Here is an 18,877-nt window from a genome sequence, read left to right as displayed (position 1 = left end):
CACTGGAGGAAGGGAAGGTGTTTGAGGACTAGACGTATGGTTCTTCAACTGTGGCTGCACATAAGAATTTATTCTGCAAATTAGAATTTGTAAGCACCCTGGGAATGCTTACAAAAGTCCGCTGCCTGGGCCCCATGCCCAGAGATTCTGATTCAATTGTTCGGAGGTGGGTGGGGATGAAAGCATCAGTAGATTTAGAAGCTCCCAAGTGACTCTAATATGTGGCCAGGGTTGAAAACCGCTGGGCTGGACATGAGTGAGCCTCCTCCTCAATCACTTCACCATGCCATGATATGGGAAGGGCATGATAGTCTCCTGGTCAGGAGGCTTGGGATGTTGTCACCAATTCATTCATTTATTCTCATATGCCACCCACTCACAGATTCACATGGAACACTCACATACCAGGAACGGTTCTGGCCATTTTATTTTGGAAGATCGGCAAAGGCTGCTCTGAGAAGGTGACATTTGCACAGACACCTGAAAGATGTGAAGGAGAAAGCCCTGCCAAGATCTTAGATTTTAACAGAAGAGTAATTCAGGCTCAAAAGCAAGTGCTAAGGCCCCGGGTTGGGGAGGGTGGGGAAGGGGGTTCGGGGAGCGTGCTTGGTGCGTTGAGATGAGTTGGTGTGGCTGGTCCAGTGTCAGCAGGTAGGAGGGTGACCAATGAGGCCACTGGAGGAATTCAAGCAGATGACTGACATAATCTGATTTTCATTTGTGTCACTGCATTGAGAGAAGATTAGCAGGTAATCATAACAGTTTTTCCTGTGTAAGTGTCATACATGCCTCATTGGGGAGGGGAAATAGCACTGTGGATTGGCTTCTAAGTTCAAATCACACCTGTGCCACCTACTAGTTGTGTGACCTTGAAGAGGTAGGTTCAGTCTCTCCATCCAACAGAGCCACCAAGCAGCAATTGGCTGCTGGAGGAGAAACACAGTACAGCCACATGGGGGCGCTCCTTCCTCTGGGAAGCGTTTCAATGGGCAACGTTGAGTTCAGAGAGGACCTACCAGTGCAGGTTGAAAGGTTCAGAAGTTTGGAAGCAAGAAGGCAATCAGCTTTCCCATCCAGACCAAAAGTTTCATACCCACTTTTTCCATGAACCAAAGGGCACAGGGTGAACAGCCTGGCATTCAGCAGCCCTCCCCGGGAAGTCCTGGCCAGAAAGGGGCAGGCTGGGGAACCGCATTACCTGGTTTCTGATGGAGCCACGACAGGAAGTTTATATGCCAAGGTGATCAGAGCAGTGGCTGTGAAAGATGCCAAGAACAGCATGGCCCCAAGGAGGATGAGGATCTGTGTACTCCTGCAAAGAAGAGAGGATACGGAGAGGAGTGCCCTTCAGTTTCTTGCCCCACACATGCGCTTCCTATGGCACGAAAGGCTGGAAATCCTGACCATCAGAGGTACTTCCTGCTTTTGAGAGGCCCTGCTTTTGAGAGGCTGATGAGTGGCAGGGAGAGCGGGGCTGGGGCTGGAGGACCTGAGGCAGCCTCGGTCTTGACCATCCATTAGTTGTGCCACACCGGGCAGGGCCTTGAGCTTGAGTTTCCTGGTCTAGACAGGAACAGTAATCGCATCCTCGCCTGCCCACCCTGAGGCTTACTATGCAGCTCAAAAGGAGTCCATGCCTGGGAACGTCCCTTGTCATCTATGAAACCCGATATGGATACAAGTGGTGGTTGATTTGGGAGAGAGGACTGTCAAAGGCAGGGTGGGACACGGGGTGGACCCACTCCAAGCACAGGGGAGAGAGGATCGAGAAGGAGGATGGTATGGTTTGGATCTTTGTCCCTGCCCATATCTCATGTGGAATTGTAATCCCCAGTGTTGAAGTGGGGCCTGATAGGAGGTGACTGGATCGTGGGGATGGATTTCCCCCTTGCTGTTCTTGTGATAGTGAGTGAATTCTCATGAGATCTGGCTGTTTAAAAGTGTGTAGCACCTCCCCGCTTTGCTCTCTTCCTCCTGCTCCCACCATATTAAGATGTGCCTGGTTCCCCATCTGCCCTGATTGTAAGTTTCCTGAGGCCTTCCCAGAAGCAGAAGCCTGCACAGCCTGCAGAACCATGAGTCAATTAAACCTCTTTTCTTTATAAATTACCCAGTCTCAGGTAGTTCTTTATAGCATGTGAAAACGGACTAATGCAGAGGGGGAACCAGGCACGCCTTCAACTGAGGAGCAGAGCCTGAGACAAATGTCCGGGTGCAGGTAGTTCACGTGGGTGTAGGAATGAGGGATAGGGTAGGAGAACAGGGAAGCAGGGAAAACCAATACCAGGATGTGCTATCAAGGTGGCCAATGCTCAGTTCTTCCAGAATGTTCCACAGGGCCATATGAAATGTACCTTAAAACTGTCCTGTGAGATGAAAGACAGAAGGATTTTCCCACTGTCTTCTATCTCAAATGGGTTAAGGATGGTCCCACACAAATTAATTCCTCCACACTTTGGGACCGTGCATGTATAAGACTAGGATGTTTCCTGAAGCACCCAGAGTGAGGCGCTGTCTGGTTGTACCTGCTCCGAAGTGTGAGGGTTGGGATTAAGAGGATCCACAGTGGTGTGGAAGAAATGTCAAACACAAGTGCGAGACCATCCAGGCACAGCCTGACCTGGAAAATGCCTTTGACAATGCAATTCTGCTAGTGAAAGTTGCCATGGCTGTTCATGAGGAAGGGATGAGATAGATACTATTCAGTTATCAAGTGATACAGGGAGAAAATTATTTTCAGCCAGAGTACCAATGTTAGTGTAATATTTGGAAAGAAGGATGAATTCTAGCTCCATGATGCTATGATTGATTACTAATGTCTGCTATGAGGGTAAGCAGGGGGTTATGGTAATAATGCTGTATGTATATTTACTATGACTTCTGCCAGACCCCTTAGCTCTTCTCTCCTTGAATTACTGAGCTCCAGAAAGACCTGATTCCACTGGCATTCCATGGAATTATATTCTCTAAAGGAAGAAAAGCCCTACTTTTATATTTCCCTCCACTTATAAGCTAAATCTTGTTGCATAGTCACAAGTTTGGACAGTGTGGGTTTTCAGCTGAAGGACTGAAATCCACCTTCCACGACAGCCTTTGGGAAAGATGCTGACACGGGGCCAGTGCTCCTCAGTCACAAGGACACTCACATGGGTTCCCAGGCAAGTCTAGAGTGCGGAGGCATAAGAACTCAGTGTCCTAGGTAAGTGGTAGTCAGGCCATCCAATAAAAACCCACAGCCACCCGAGTAAATATGTGTTTAACTCCCTGGGGGACTTGAGCCCAGTCCCTGGCACCTACTTCCAAGATCAGTATCTCCACCACAGACTCCACAAGTCTCTTCCAGCTAGCACCATTTCAACTAAACTCATAAATCTTCCTGACATTGAATGTTATGGGCTGAATTATGTCCCCAACAAAGTCCTATGTTGAAATCCTAACCCCCAGTAATTCAGAGTGTGACTGTATTTGAAGATAGAGTCTTTAAAGCAATAATTAACATTAAACGAGGTCATTGGGGTGGGCCTTAATCCAATATGACTGTGTCCTTATAAGAAGAGGAAACTTGGACACAGAAGGAAGAACATGTGAAGACTCAGATGTTTTGTTTTATTATTAATATTCCATTCTGGCAACAGTTAAATTGGATGACTAGAGGACTGAATATTGATGTTCCCTCTACGGAAAGTGATTTATCATTATGATTCAAGAGCGTAAAAGACATTCATGCCCTTTGACCTATTAATTCCCCTCAAAGATATATGTTGTAGAGAAGTATCAAAGTTGGAGACAAATGGTTTCCATGAAAATATTTATCAAGCCATTATTTATGAATGCATAACATTGGAAATAATCCCAGTATTAAACAATAGAAGGTATACATAAATTATATAGTTAGTTCATGGAATGGAATGTTATGCAGACATTTAAATTATGTTGCTTTAAAAATAAAATAATATAGGGAAATGCATGTGTCATAAAACTATTGAAAGAAAGATACCAAGGTGTATATACAGAATGCTTTCATGTATCAAAAGCAGGGCACAGCCTGGGCAACACGGCAAGACCTCATCTCTTTACAGAAGGTAAAAAATTAGCAAGGTGCAGTGGTCCATGCCTGTTACTCGAGAGGTTGAGGCAGGAGAATCGTTTGAGCCCAGGAGTTGGAGGCTGCAGTGAGCTATGATGGCACCACCGCACTATAGCAGCCTGGGTGACAGAGTGAGACCCTCATCTCTTTAAAAAAAAAAAAAAAAAAAAAAAACTGGGCAGAAAAAATATCAGAAGGATAAGCCCCAAAATATTAGCAGCAAATTCTCCTTCCCTTGACTGACAAAGTGGAACTGGGGTGATTATTCCCCCCTCTCTTAACTCCTAATGTTTTCCAATGTTTCTTAAATTGAACATATATTTTAACACAAAGAACAATAAATTTTTAAAATATGGCATGAATAATCCACAACTACAAGTCTCTCCATGAATTATTGAGGCCTTAAGGTGTTTCTAAAACTAACAAAAATTAAGGTGATAAATATCCAATGTGGGAAAGCTGGTGCACCGATACATGGCTGAGGGCGTTGTAAATTACTTCACTCTTTCTGGAGAGCAATCTCACAATATGTGACAAGTGCCACAGAATTGTTCCTACCCTTTGACCTAGCAATTCCAGTTGGAAATCTGCCCCTGTGAAAATAACTAAGAGAAAAAGTAGTGTGTTCAAAGGCATGCATTGCAGTGACATTTATAATCATGAAAAATTGGCCACAATCTAGATACCCAACCATAAAAATGGTAGATAAACCCTAAAACTGCCAAGTATGCAGGTTATGTCAATATGTGGCAATGTTTATAAGAACAGTTAAATGGAAAAAGCTGAGCACTAGATATTACATGCACACACTGATTGTAACTCTGCAAAACACACACTGACTGGCGTAGGATCAATGTTGGAAAAGAATGCAGAAGAAGGCAGACCGTAGAGGATTTGGTATTTACTTTTCTGTAAAGTTTCCTAGATTTTAAAAAGCAGCTCTGCACGGAACTGGGATACTTTCTGAGGGTTTTGTGAAAGAGGGCACATGAGGAGAAAAGCTTGTCCCAATCAGACTCACTTTACATGGATGAAGATAATCACTGGTGTGGTGAGGTGGAACTGGAAGTCATTGGCAAGGTACCAGGTCCAGCCATTGCACTGAAAAGAGAGCAGCAAAGGTCACTCTTCCTTCATTTACCAGTTCTGCTCCACACTCTCCACCTGCCTGGACTAGGAGGAAGAATTTAGTAGGTGGGTGGGGCGAATTTCCATGGGAAGACAAAGGAAATTGAGTTAGAGATATTCATATTTCACATCCCTCATCTTGAGCCTTGTACCAAGCCTGGATGGTGGGTATTATTGCTGCCATTTTACAAAATGGAGATTCAGACAAATTTTCTCTTTTGTTTAAAAAAGCAAAATGATCATAGCCCATCTCCTAGGACAGTTGTGGGAAATGAACTCTGTCATGTTACGGGAATGTAAGAGTTTCTCATCATTATGGTGCGGTTGGAAGTCAGAGGGGTCAACGTTTTTCTCTTTTCTTTGCCTCTCCCCATGCCCCAACTCTAGGTGGAAAGAACATGTTCATTTAGAACCAGGGCTTGGCTCCAGATGATGTTTTGTGGAGAACCCCAGAGTTCCCATGGATGATTGACATGGTCAAAATGAGTTCCACAGACAGTCCATGCTTGTGCCAGATGAGATGGTTACCAGTATTTTTTTCGTCAATGTGAGGAAGCGCCTGGGGGCAATTCTCTCCAAAGGGCCCTGGCACCTCTGCTTTCAAGGATCTAAGGTGGGCTCTACCTCAAAAAGGCCACTGGCTGGTATCCTTGCCACTGCTTCCTGCAAGTGGCCCAAATCAGTTTGCATCAGGGAAAACAGCCCAGATTATCCCCTGGGTACCCCATCACAGACAAGCGGGCCCTACCTGCAGGCAGGTAGCTGGTGATGCAAGCCTGTCCATATGGCTGGGCCTTTGCAAATGGAAGGCAGCCATCTAGTTAGTCAGTTGTTACGTGCAAAGATTAGGGCCCTGCCACGCTTTAGCGATTCCCTTTTCAGCCTTGATTTCAAGGCATATGTGGAATTGGTGATATAATTTCATTACAGCTATTTCACTTTCACTTGCTTCAAATGCATTACGAGGAAACTGGGGCTTTGGAGAAGCCAAGACGCACATAGATCTTGTTGCTCCAAAGCAACAAGATCTTTGAACTTGAGTAGAATTCCACATAGTAAGGGTGTGATGCGATGTCCCATTGCAGTAGAGACTCAACAGGCGGAGGTGAATAATTTGTCCTTTCCCGGTTGGGCAACATGGGCTGGCACAAGAACAGTGATGGGGCAGGGTCAGCTGCCTCCGGGACATGTGCCAGGATGACTGGCCCCTTGTTGGCCAATGCTATGCTCCCCTCCCTCTGCTGTTCACAGCGGCTGCCCTCTGCATAGCCTGGTACGGTTACACCAACTGCATGGCAAGAAGCCATCCCCCACTCACACAGCCCACCTTCCTACAGCATCACCAGTACTCCAGAGAAAATACCAGAATCAGGTTGGCCCTTGGAAAGTTCACCACACTGCTTGAAGAAATGAGACTCCAGGTTTGCACCCTTCTGCCTTTTCAAAGCCAGCAACTTGAGACTCACCGCATTCTTGACCGACACAAAGTTATTTAGCAACAGCAGATTCGTCCACCATGCTTGCCGGCAGTTATCCCAGTGGAATTTGGGCATTTCCCAGACAGGTCCCCAGGGAACAAGAGAGAACAGTCCAACCAACAAGCACATTGAATACAGGTGAAGAGGCTGCAACCTGGCAGGAGAGAACCGAGAGAAAGAAGGTGACTTTCCACCGGGGTCCCTCCAGTCATCTCAGTGGGCACGTGGCGGGTGGGGCATAAGGTGCTCTAAAACAGATTGTTTGTACCGTGGGCAGCTGCCACCCAGCCACACCTCAAACGTTCAAGCATCCACGAGTTCCAGATCACTTACTGAGCACCTATCATGTACTGGCTCAGGTGCTACTGCTGCAAAAATACTGCTATTTATTTCTCTTTTTTTAAGAGACAGGGTCTCACTCACTACGGCCCTGACTTCCACCTCCTGGGCTCAAGCGATCCTCTCACCTCAACCTCCCAATTAGCTAGAACTGCAGGCGCATGCCACCATGTTCCACTAAAAATACTGTTATTTATTGAGCAAGTCATATAGGCCAACCACTGTGGGAGGAGCCTGCTAGAGATTTCTAAACCTCAAAACAATCCTGCAAGGTAGCTATGACCTCCATTTTATGAAGAAATTATAGCTAAGAGAAGATAGGGTGACTTGCCCAAGGTCACCAACCACATAGCAGTACCAAGATCTGACACTGGTTCATGTTCTTTCCACATGGCCTCACACGATGAAAAACTCTTTCTTCCTTCCCTCCCTCACTTGCTTCATTTCTCCCTTCCTTCACGCCCTACCTCCTCCAAGCAAGATCTGAAGCAGCTACAAAGGGGAAGAATCAGGAGTAAGGTGTCTAGACCAGCGCTGTTCAACAGAAACAGGATGCAAGCACAGCTGCCCCCAGTTTTACACTTTCCAGCAGCCACAATTTAAAAGGTAAAAAGAAATAGGTACAAATCATTTTAATGTTATTTATTTAGACCAATATATCCAAAATATTATCATTACAAATACGTACCCAATATGAAACATTGTTAATAAGCTATTTGACATTCTTTTCCCTTTTACTGAGTCTTCAGAGCCCAGTGTGGGCTTTGCACACATAGCACATCTCACTTACCCACTTACCTGGTGGCTATTTGCTGGACAGTGTGGGTTTAGAGTTTAGAAATGAGATTGCAGCCTGGAGGCGCATATAATACTGGCATGGATTCTGCATGGGCTGGGGTCAGAGCCCTCTTCTAAAAGAATATAGCTAAAAATCCAGGGTAGTTTTGGCTCAACTAGGGCAGAACAATGGCCCAGCAGTACCTCCAGACACCTAGGTGAGAGGGTGGGGGCTGGGGTGGTGGTCACAGATGGGAACTGGCAGGACTTGGAGCGTCTCCACTTAGAGGTACATCCCCAGCAGAGAGGGGCTCAGCACCAAGCCTCTGGTCTGCACCTGGGGACGGAGACCATTGATTCCCCTGTTCTCCCCACAATGAGAACGTCCTACATAGAGAGTGTCCGGTGGGTGGGAGGGCGGTAGGCATTCTAGGAGAGGGAGTGGAATTGTTGATCAATGTCATACAGAAAAGGCAGGCAACTCTGTCAAGACACAGCTTCCCAGATCAGCTCGCCTGCGGGTTTGCTCAGGCAACAGCCTCCCTGGGTCCTAGGCACTGGGTCCTGCCATGTTTGCCATCTGACCATGCTGCCCCGCAGCTGCCCCTACAAGCCTCCGGCCCCGCCTTTTTGATCATCCTTCCCACCATCTGTCACCTCCCCTCCCCGGGGAAAGTAGCCAGCGCTGCTCCCTTCAGAAGGAGAGCAGAAGGGAGCATTCCCCTGCCCCCCACTCCAGGCAGCATCCCTCACCTCTGCCAAATCCCCCCTCCCCAGGGTGCTTGTTAAAATGCAGACTTGGAGTCTGCAGGCTGTTGGGTGGGCCACGCCTTGAGTAGCAAGTTCATCTAAACTTTTCACACTGAGAAAATCATGTAATGTCTCCTCTTTCCTCTCCTCTAAAAGGGAAATGAGGGTTTCTGCTTTCTAAGATTTTTTTGAAAATCTAACAAGAAAACAGTTTGAAATATTTAAACCACCCTCAAATATACAGGTGCTACATTTTTGTCCAAGTTTCCAAGAGAATAAAAGTCAAAGTGGGTTTTCAAAGATTAAAATGTGGGATACTGGCCAGTGTGGTGGAGGGGTGAGAAGCAGGGATTCTCATACCTGGTGGGTGGGAAGGTAAATTGGAAAATGCACATTAAATGTTAAATGCCCAAAACCCCCCATTCCACTTGTAGGAATTTAGCCCACAAACATGTCTATACAAGTGCACAAAAATATATAGAGATTATCCCATTGTCTAAGACAGCAAAGAATTTGGACATTAGCTCCATGTCCACTAATGGGGACAAGTTAAATACATAATGGTACCCCACTGTGCCATACTGATAACCTTTAACATCAGGGATGTGGGTTCTTGTGTGCTTATAGAGAAATAGGCCAATTCTGTATTATAAATGAAAACACCACGTACAAACAGTGAAGTATATACTGCAATCCTATGCGTGCAGGAGAAGAACAGTGCTTATAAATACATGGAAAGATTCTGCAAGAATTCCTAAGAAACTGTTAAATACAGGTGTCCTGGGGGGAGTGAGACTAGAAGGGGGACCCTTTATTTTAGTTATAAGCTTCTGTTATAGTTAGACATTTTTATCACAAGGTATAAAAAAAAAAAAACCCTAATTTTTAAAATGTAGCTGCTAGTTGACATAACCAGGCAGTTCTACAGTTCTAGAGCTTTACTCTCTTCCTTTCCTGTTAGATAATCTCTGTCCTGACTTACCCCTAGAAGTTGGGTTTGGGGATTTTCTTATAACTTGCAATAGCTCCCAAATGGTCTCCCCCTATCTGGACCTTACAGCCATTCTCTGCCCTGCAGCCAGAGTGAGTCTTGCAAGATGTAAATCTGCCCATGCCACTCCCTTGCTGGGACCCTTCAGAGGTTTATGTCTCAGAACAACAGGGAGAGTCCTTAGGGCAGCCTCCGCCCGTCTCTGACCTCATTCCTCCCACTGTCCACGTGGCTCACTTCACTCCACACAACACCTTTGGGCTCTTTGAGGCTCTTCACACACTGCGACGCCCCTCCTTCCCCAGGACCTTTGTGATTCGGTTCTCCCGGAATGGACCATTCTTCCCCCACAGGATTTTCTTTGCTTAGAACATTCCTTTATTTTCTTCTGGGCTCTGGCCAAAAGTCACCTCCCCTGACTGCCCTTCCAGAGAAAGCCTCCAGCTTGCTTTCTTCTTTTATTTATTTATTTATTTGGGCAAAGTCTCGTTCTGTCGCCCAGGCTGGAAGGCAGTGGTGCGATCACGGCTCACTGAAGCATCCGCCTCCTGGGCTCAAGCAATCCTCCCACCTCAGCCTCCCAAGGAGCTGGGACCACGGGCACGTGCCACCACACCAGGCTAATTTTTTGTATGTTTTGTAGAAATGAGGTCTCACTATGTTGGCCAGGCTGGTCTCAAACTCCTGGGCTCAGGGGATCGTCCCACCTTTGCCTCCCAAAGTGCTGGGATTGTAAGGCGTGAGCCACTGCACCCAGCCTCTTCTCCAAATGATCACTTTGTGGCACCCATCCTCCCTGGCCTAGCATACATTTATTTGCATGCTGCAACTTCAAATTGCATATTCATTTATTTATTGTCTGCCTGTATTCACTGGAATGTAACCTGAGGGCTGGAAGGCACATTTGCATGGCTTATTAAAACTCTGTTCTCAGGGCTTAGGACAGCGCCTAGCACAAAATGGGCCTCAGAATGAGTGAATGAACAGATGGTCTGACCCCTGTCCTCCTGGAGATAAGCAGACAAGTGATAAGTGCTAACCAGGTAGCATCAGTGAGTTATACCAGCACACATGAGAACCTCAAAATGGCCAGGATCATGACTGTTTTTTCACTGGGGTTACCTTAGTGAGGGTGAGTTCAACTTGTGGGTTTGTGACAGTTCCCTCCATTTTCAAAAAAATTTTTTCCCAGGTTGGACTGATTGTCTCCCTAGGCTCCCACTCTGACCTGCCTCCCTTCCAGAGTTCCCCAGCTCAAGAATGCCAGCACCACCTGCCATGTTGCTCAAGCCAGAAAATTCCTGAGTCCTTGATTTCTCCTCTCTCCATTCCCACTGCCAATTGCCAGTGCAAACCCTGCTCTCCTGCCCAGACACTGCAGTAATTTACTCACTGGGGTCCTTGTCTTACAAGGTCTCACTACCACCCAACTCTCACCCCGTGCTCCTCCTGCCCCTACCACTGCTCTATCCACCTTGAAAAAACCCCTCTCTCCTCAATCCCCAGCTCCAGACTTTTACTCTGAAGTAGGTTTCCCAAGGCTGGATGCAGTGGCTCACACTTGTATTCCTAGCATTTTGGGAGGCCAAAGCGGACAGATTATCTGAGGTCAGGAGTTTGAGACCAGCCTGGCCAACACAAAAAACCCTGTCTCTACTAAAAATACAAAAATGAGCCAGGCATGGTGGTGGGTACCTGTAATCCCAGCTACTCAGAAGGCTGAGGCAGGAGAATCACTTGAACTCAGGAGGAAGAGGTTGCAATGAGCCAAGATCGTGCCACTGCACTCCAGCCCGGGCGATAGAGCAAGACTCCATCTCAAAAAATAAATAAATAGGCCAGGGATGGTGGCTCATGCCTGTAATCCCAGCACTTCGGGAGGCCGAGGCAGGCGGATCACCTGAGGTCAGGAGTCCAAGACCAGACTCATCAATATGATGAAACCCCGTCTCTACTAAAAATACAAAAATTAGGGGGTCATGGTCGTGCATGCCTGTAATCCCAGCTACTCGGGAGGCTGAGACAGGAGAATTGCTTGAACCCGGGAGGCGGAGGTTGCAGTGAGCCGAGATCGTGACATTGCAGTCCAGCCTGGGCAACAAAAGCGAAACTCCATCTCAAAAAATAAATTAAATAAATAAATAAAATAAAATAAAATAAAATAAAAAAGTTGGTTTCCCAAGCAGAACCCACCATGCCATTAGATCCCCTGCCCCAACCCCCACCTAACCCCTCTGAGCATTTATCACCATGACCCCTCATCCTGTATGCCAGCCTCTCACCTCCAGAAAACCTCAGGGCAGGACAGGCTGCTTACCCCAGTGCCACACACCCAAAATATATTGAAATCATAAGCCTTCTGCCCTTCCCTGGAGGAGGGTTAGATTTTATAAAGCTTGGAAGAAACCACAAAGACTGTGGTGAAAAGAAACCAACAAAGGTCTATTCCTTAGCTTCTCCCCATTCTTCACCTATTTGATGGAAAGCTTAAAAGGTATAAATAACCACCACGCTAATAATGATAGCTCCTACGTATTGAGGGCTTACTATGTATAAAGCACCCTTCCAAGTTCTTTACATACATTATCTCATTGAATCCTCACAAGAGTCCTGTGATGTGTCACTATTCTTCCCATTTTAGAGATGAGCAAATGCAAGCACAGAAAGACTGAGAGAGACACTTAACTCAAGGTCACACCGCTGCTATGTGATTGAGCCAGAATACACGCTCAGCAGTCCAACTACAGAGTCTGCACTTGCCCACTGCATTTCACTAGTCCCAAAGATTATGACAACACTCCTCTTCCTATTTTGTGACAGTGTGGTATAACAAGATGAACGTGAACCAGGAGTCAGGAGTGCTGGCTTCCAGCTCAGCAAATAACCACGACATAGAAAATATATCAATGGCAGGGTTGGATGACATGAGCTGAAGTTTCCTTTTCTCCCTTAACTTTGTTGTTTTTTTTGTTTGTTTGTTTTGAGACAGGGTCTCACTCTGTTGCCCACGCTGGAGTGCAGTGGCAGGATCTTGGCTCACTGCAACCTCCACCTCCGGAGTTCAAGTGATTCTCCCACCTCAACTTCCCGAGTAGCTGGGATTACAGTCGTGTGCCACCACGCTCAGCTAATCATTTGTATTTTTGGTAGAGAAAGGGTTTCACCATGTTAGCCAGGCTGGTCTCAAACTCCTCACCTCAAGTGATATGCCCCCCTCAGCCTCCCAAGGGCCTCCCCAAAACGCCTGAGATTACAGGCATGAGCCACTGTGCCCAGCCCTTCCTCCCTTAACTTTGGTTGTCTCATTCTGTCACTGCCACTCTGCTACCACCGATTCCGTATTCTGCCCCAGTGTTGGAATCCCTTCTGCATCAACCAACCACACATTCCTAAAGGAGACCGTCAGCTAGGCACGGTGGCTCACGCCTGCAATCCCAGGACTTTGGGAGGCCGAGACAGGCAGATCACGAGGTCAGGAGTTCAAGACCAGCCTGGCCAACATAGTGAAACCCCGTCTCTACTAAAAATACAAAAAAAAATCAAATCAAATATTAGCCAGTCATGGTGGCGGGCGCCTGTAATCCCACCTACTCAGGAGGCTGAGGCAGGAGAATTGCTTGAACCCAGCAGGCAGAGGTTGAAGTGAGCAGAGATGGCGTCACTGCACTCCAGCCTGGGTCACAGTGCGAGACTCTGTCTCAAAAACAAAAAAAAAAAAAAAAAAAAAAGGAGATCGTCATTCTTCCTGCCTCCCTCCCAGCAGAATGGCCATGGCCCAGAGCTTCAACCAAGTTCCTTTCCTGGTCACGTACTGTTTTATTTTTATCATTACCATTAGCACTCTGATTTATAGGATCCAATTACTACTAATTTGCAGACAAACAAATTTTCCTGTTGAATACAGATTCCATGGAAATCTGACAGTGCATTTATTGAACTCTGCTGCCCATCAGCTGAGGACTAAGGATGTTTTTGCCAGTGGAACATACCAGTTTTCATGGTATTTGTCCCAGTAGAATTTGATCCATATTAAACCAGCTTAAATCAACTGTATTTAGGGAAGAAAACTATTTCTTTCAGTTTATTTTTCTTTGGAAATTCTTTGAAAAGAGGGTTAAAGACAGAAAACTAATAAATCGTTACATAGCAATGAGGAATTGAGAAATTAAGTAAATAAACCTACTGTCAGGCCTCTGAGCCCAAGCTAAGCCATCATATCCCCTGTGACCTGCACATATACATCCAGATGGCCTGAAGCAACTGAAGATCCACAAAAGAAGTGAAAATAGCCTTAACTGATGACGTTCCACCATTGTGATTTGTTTCTGCCCCACCCTAACTGATCAATGTACTTTGTAATCTCCCCCACCCTTAAGAAGTTTCTTTGTAATTCTCCCCACCCTTGAGAATGTACTTTGTGAGATCCACCCACTGCCCCCCGCAAAACATTGCTCCTAACTCCACCGCCTATACCAAAACCTATAAGAACTAATGAAAAGCCCACCACCCTTTGCTGACTCTCTTTTCGGACTCAGCCCACCTGCACCCAGGTGAAATAAACAGCCTTGTTGCTTGCACAAAGCCTGTCTGGTGGTCTCTTCACACGGACACACGTGACACCTACCTTACCAGGTGACTGAGAAAGTATCTGAGTATGCCTTTGGGGGTTATTCCTTTGTCTGAATTCTGATGCATCTTTAAAAACGAACTTGCACTTAACCAACCACTAAAAGAAAAAGAAGAATTGTCGCAGGAATTACTTATCAATAATACATTCATTGATTGATTCATTTGGTTGTCCCAATCTGTACAGAATAAATTATGATGCATTAACAAAGCACCTCCAAGTCTTAAAACAATTTTTTTTTAAGACGGTGTCTAGTTCTGTCACCAAGGCTGGAGTGCAGTGGCGCAATCTCGGCTCACTGCAACCTCCACCTCTCGGGTTCAAGCGATTCTCCTGCCTCAGCCTCCCAAGCAGCTGGGATTACAGGCACCTACCACCACACCTAGCTAATTTTTGTATTTTTAGTAGAGACAGAGTTTCACCATGTTGGCCAGGCTGGTCTCGAACTCCTGACCTCATGATCCACCCGCCTCGGCCTCCCAAAGTGCTGGGATTACAAGCGTGAGCCACGGTGGCCAGCCAAAAACAATTGTTTTGTTCTTGCTCATGCTGCATGCCCAGGTTGACAGAGCAGCTACCATCTGAAACCTCACTAGTGACCATGGAAGATGACAACAGCATTCTGGAGGGCCACAAAATAGCAACGAAACCCTCTAATCTAAAAGTGTCACGTTTTAAGCTCTTAGCATAAGAGTCTAAAGCACTTAGCGCAATGGCAATACCAGGTACCACTTGGTCAGAACTAATGATGTGACCCACCCAATCACAATGGGTCCAGGAAGTGGAATGTTGCCAAGTGCCCAAAAGGGAGGAACACAGAAAGATTTGTTGAACAATATTAATGACTACCATTTGGTCTTTTGAAATAATAACACCAAGACTTTCCATTTGTGTAGCAGCACATCACTTTCAAAGTACTTTCGCTAATGAGATTGCTTTCCCTTCTCCAGTCGTACAAAACTACTTTGCAAAAAACATTTGTTGGCCAGACCCAGTGACTCACACCTGTAATCCCAGTGCTTTGGGAGATGGGTGGATCACCTGAGTTCAGGAGTTCAAGACCAGCCTGGCCAACGTGGCAAAACACCACCTCTACTAAAAATACAAAAATTTGCTGAGCGTGGTGGCATGTGCCTGCAGTCCCAGCTACTCAGGAGGCTGAGGCAGGAGAATCGTTTGAACCTGAGAGGTGGAGGTTGCAGTGAGCCGAGATGGCACCACTGTACTCCAGCCTGGATGACAGAGCGAGACTCCATCCCAAAAAAATAAATAGTTGTTTGTTGAGTGAATGATTGAATAGATGAATAATAGATGAATAAACAGCTCTATTAGGTAAAAAGGAAGACACTTTCATTTTGGCTTCTCTGATGGGAAAAGTGAGACCTAGAGATTATTAAGAGGGTTGCCCAAGATCACAGAATTCTTAACCAACATACCCTGATGACAAATTCATTACCCAGAATGTGCAGCTAAAGAAACAAAAGTTATGCCTTTTAATTGCTACTGGATGGTAAGCAAGTATGTGAGTTTCTCAAACTTTTGACATTTATACCAGTGATCCTTGTGGGTGTTTCCCTAAAGAGCTAATGTATTTCCTATTGTAAAACAAAGCTGTGTGTTGGGTGGGACTTGGAAGGGATCAGGGAGGGTTGGAGAATGTCTCCATTCTCTGCCTTCCAGATTTTCCTTTGAAAAGCAGCAAGTTGGACTCATTAAATAGGAACAAAATTTATAGAGACATCTAAAAGACAGTGCTAAGAGGAGGAAGCAGGGCAGCCAATTCTGATTCCGGCCTCCTATTAATTTCAGGAAAGGATAAATCAGGGCGATTCTTTCTTTTCAGAGTGACTGGCTCCCCCTCTGCCAACACGGTTGCTAAGCAAAGCCTGGGCCTCGCTGTGTGTGTGGGCATGCACCTCCCGGCCTGCAAGTTCATCAAGAGAGGGCAACGAGAAAGACTGGCAGGAAAACAGGCTCTGAGCAAGATAGCTAGCTCCAAGGGGCTAAGACCCAAAGACCTGAACACACTGCAACAGAGCAAAGCACGCACTAGTGTTGGATGAAGTCAGCCCGAGAGGTGAGAGAGGATTACAAAACAGTCGCCAACAAATTATTCTTCAAGATAATCAGAAGGCTTTGCTTTTACTATGTAAATATCAGTGACATAGTGAGTAAGACATGGTTTCCTTGTGAAACAAGCTATACGTAAGCTCTAATTCTAACCTTACTAACTGTGTAGACTTGGACAAATTACCTCATTACTGAACATCAAGAAGTTTCTCATCTGTAAAAATGGGGATGATATGGGTACCAGTTTTATAGGTTTATTGTGAGAATTGCATGGGATAAAATATTTCAAGCTCTTAGCATAATGGTAATACTAGGTATCACTATTAATAATGGTTCCATTGTTCAAAAGAAAATTTTAAATAAAAGAAAATATGAACCTTTGAAAGTAATACAATAAAAACTAAAGGAAAAGGAAAAAAAGACAGTCACAGAGACTGATGGTGAGAAATGGAAGCAAATAGGGATAAAGAGAAAAGAAATGTACTTCTCTGTCTCTAGGCTGCTGTCAGAATCTGCCTGGCTTCGGCCACCTCTGTTGGCCTCGGCTTTTCCTGCCTGGGCTCACACAGAGCTGCTCAGGCTTCAGCAGGCACAACCTGGAGAGCTTGTGACAGTCCAGATTGCTGGAGCCATGCCCCCAGAAAGTCTGATTCAATGGGTCTAGGGTGGCGCCCAAGAATTTGCACTTCTACCAATTCCAGGTGATGCTGGTGAAACTGCACCGGGACGGCTCTCTGAGGACCACTGACATAAGGCACGGCCCTCCCTGACCCCAGACCAACCCAGGTGGGAGATAAATCATCTACATATTTGTAGTTTTCTGGGCTGTTTTGTATTTCAATAGCCTTGGCCTGTGCTTTAGATATCTCAGGACTGACCTCGTGGCTTCTCTGGTGTCTCCGATTCCCACTGATGGCCCAGACATGACCAGTGGCCTTTCGTGCCCTCCATCTTTCCATCCTAGTGACAGGTTTCCTAGTCCCCAGATTGAGTTTGGCTTCGGTGCCTGTCATCCTGATCTGTCCTCGCCAGTGTCCCTCCCAGGGCTTGGACCCTGCCAGTCAGTCCCACCCCAGCATACAGACGTTTTTGCCTGGCTTGTAGGGAACAGAGTTCTGGTCTTTGCCTGCTGCCCCGTGGCAGAGCCTCCCCGTCCTCCAGGGGCCCACTCCCGGTCTTCTGCAGCTGGGCTTCCCCTGCCTGGTGAGACCCAGTGCTGCCGTCTTGGAAAGTCTAGAGCCCAGGGATTCCTGTATCACTGCTGGGTTTGCTGCATACTGTGGACCCTGAGCCTGGCCTGTCTGGGCTACTTGCCACCTCCTAGCACGATCCTTAATGGACAGGTCTGAGCTCGTTCTTCATCCCTCTTCCTCAGCATTACCACAAGAAACTATACACTAGATTCTGGAAATAAGACAAGAAATCATTCATTTCAACAATGACTTATTGAACAATACTCTGTGGCTAGCACTGCTTCAGTGACCTGGTGACACAGCAGTGCACAAAACAGAAAAACAAACTTTCTGCCTTACATTCCACTGGAGAGACACAGACAATTAATCAATCAATCAAAAATGGCAGCTATAGTATGTTGGATCAAGAGAAAAAATGAAGTCAAGAAGGCTAGGTAGTTGCACTTCAAACAGAGGGGACGAGGAAGGCTTTGCTGTGTAAAAACTTGAAGGAGAAGAGGAATCAAGCCACCAGGCTGTTAGGGAGGTAAGTGTCACAGAAAGTGGCTGGTGATTAGTCATCCCTTACTGTTGCTCTGTGCAGCATGGGAGCTAGTTCTCCCCTAACTGTGTGGGTCACACACATTTGAATTTAATGACTTTTTTTTTTTCAAGACAGAGTCTCACTGTTGCCCAGGCTTGAGTGCAGTGGCATGATCTCGGCTCACTGTAACCTCTGTCTCCCAGGTTCAAGCGATTCTCCTGCCTCAGCCTCCAAGTAGCTGGGACTACCACGCCCACCTAATTTCTGTATTTTTTGCAGAGACAGGGTTTTGTCATGTTGGCCAGGCTGATCTTGAACTCCTGGCCTCAAGCGATTAGCCTGCCTTGACCTCCCAAAGTGCTGGGATTACAGGTGTGAGCCACCACGCCCGGCCTTAATGGCCTTTTTTAAAAAACAGGGGCACTTATGAAAACATTGCTCTGTGGCTATTGTAGTTTGACCTACAATAGCATCTCCAGCAGCCATCAGTTTGCCCCTTTCTCCTCAGTCATTCTCAACATACCATAGGTATGTCTTGAGTCCCTTCTCTTTTAGCAACCTTCCTTGGTGCCCCGTACAGAGCCCAGCTCCACTCCATTTCTTTTCTCCCTTAAACAGCAAAACATCTTGAAAGAGTTGTCCAAAGTCATTGTGTCTGCATCCTCCCATCCTCACCCCACTCCACCAGACTTCCACGTCCACCACGCCACTGACTCTGCTCCTGACAATGTCACCAAAAGGCAGGCCTCTGGTTGCCAAAGCCAAAAATTGTTTCTTTACACAATCAACTCCCGGAGCATTGGGCCCCGCTGACCACAGCGTTCCTCCTTGAGGCACTTTCTTCTCTTGGCTTCCTGGTCCCCAGTGTCTGACTTGTGCCCCATTTCACTGGTCACTCATTCTCAGACTCCTTT

The 18,877-nt window shown here is 46.3% G+C and overlaps 1 pseudogene across 1 annotated transcript in view, besides 3 other annotated features; it reads right to left on the bottom strand.

The window, feature by feature from the left end:
* Nucleotides 1-18,877, bottom strand: part of OACYLP (O-acyltransferase like, pseudogene) — a 72,699-nt pseudogene that overhangs the window by 10,958 nt on the left and 42,864 nt on the right. The window contains exons 8-11 of the transcript NR_024021.3: nucleotides 14,175-14,276; nucleotides 6,682-6,847; nucleotides 5,109-5,188; nucleotides 1,199-1,312 (exon numbers count right to left, since the gene is read on the bottom strand). The product of NR_024021.3 is annotated as an O-acyltransferase like, pseudogene (transcript). The remainder of the gene's footprint in view (nucleotides 1-1,198; nucleotides 1,313-5,108; nucleotides 5,189-6,681; nucleotides 6,848-14,174; nucleotides 14,277-18,877) is intronic.
* Nucleotides 7,577-8,546: an enhancer, noted in NCBI's record as "H3K27ac-H3K4me1 hESC enhancer chr18:56717038-56718007 (GRCh37/hg19 assembly coordinates)". NCBI's record gives its function as "activates a minimal SCP1, AML or CMV promoter by ChIP-STARR-seq in naive H9 embryonic stem cells {active_cell/tissue: H9 hESC(naive)}" and the evidence as "EXISTENCE:reporter gene assay evidence [ECO:0000049][PMID:30033119]".
* Nucleotides 8,547-9,517: an enhancer, noted in NCBI's record as "H3K27ac-H3K4me1 hESC enhancer chr18:56716067-56717037 (GRCh37/hg19 assembly coordinates)". NCBI's record gives its function as "activates a minimal SCP1, AML or CMV promoter by ChIP-STARR-seq in naive H9 embryonic stem cells {active_cell/tissue: H9 hESC(naive)}" and the evidence as "EXISTENCE:reporter gene assay evidence [ECO:0000049][PMID:30033119]".
* Nucleotides 17,915-17,964: a silencer, noted in NCBI's record as "silent region_9489". NCBI's record gives its function as "represses an Ori minimal core promoter by ATAC-STARR-seq in GM12878 lymphoblastoid cells {active_cell/tissue: GM12878}" and the evidence as "EXISTENCE:reporter gene assay evidence [ECO:0000049][PMID:35858748]".

This window comes from Homo sapiens, chromosome 18, assembly GCF_000001405.40.
Source record: "Homo sapiens chromosome 18, GRCh38.p14 Primary Assembly".
NCBI lineage: Eukaryota > Metazoa > Chordata > Mammalia > Primates > Hominidae > Homo > Homo sapiens.
This window is presented reverse-complemented; position numbering and strand designations above follow the sequence as displayed.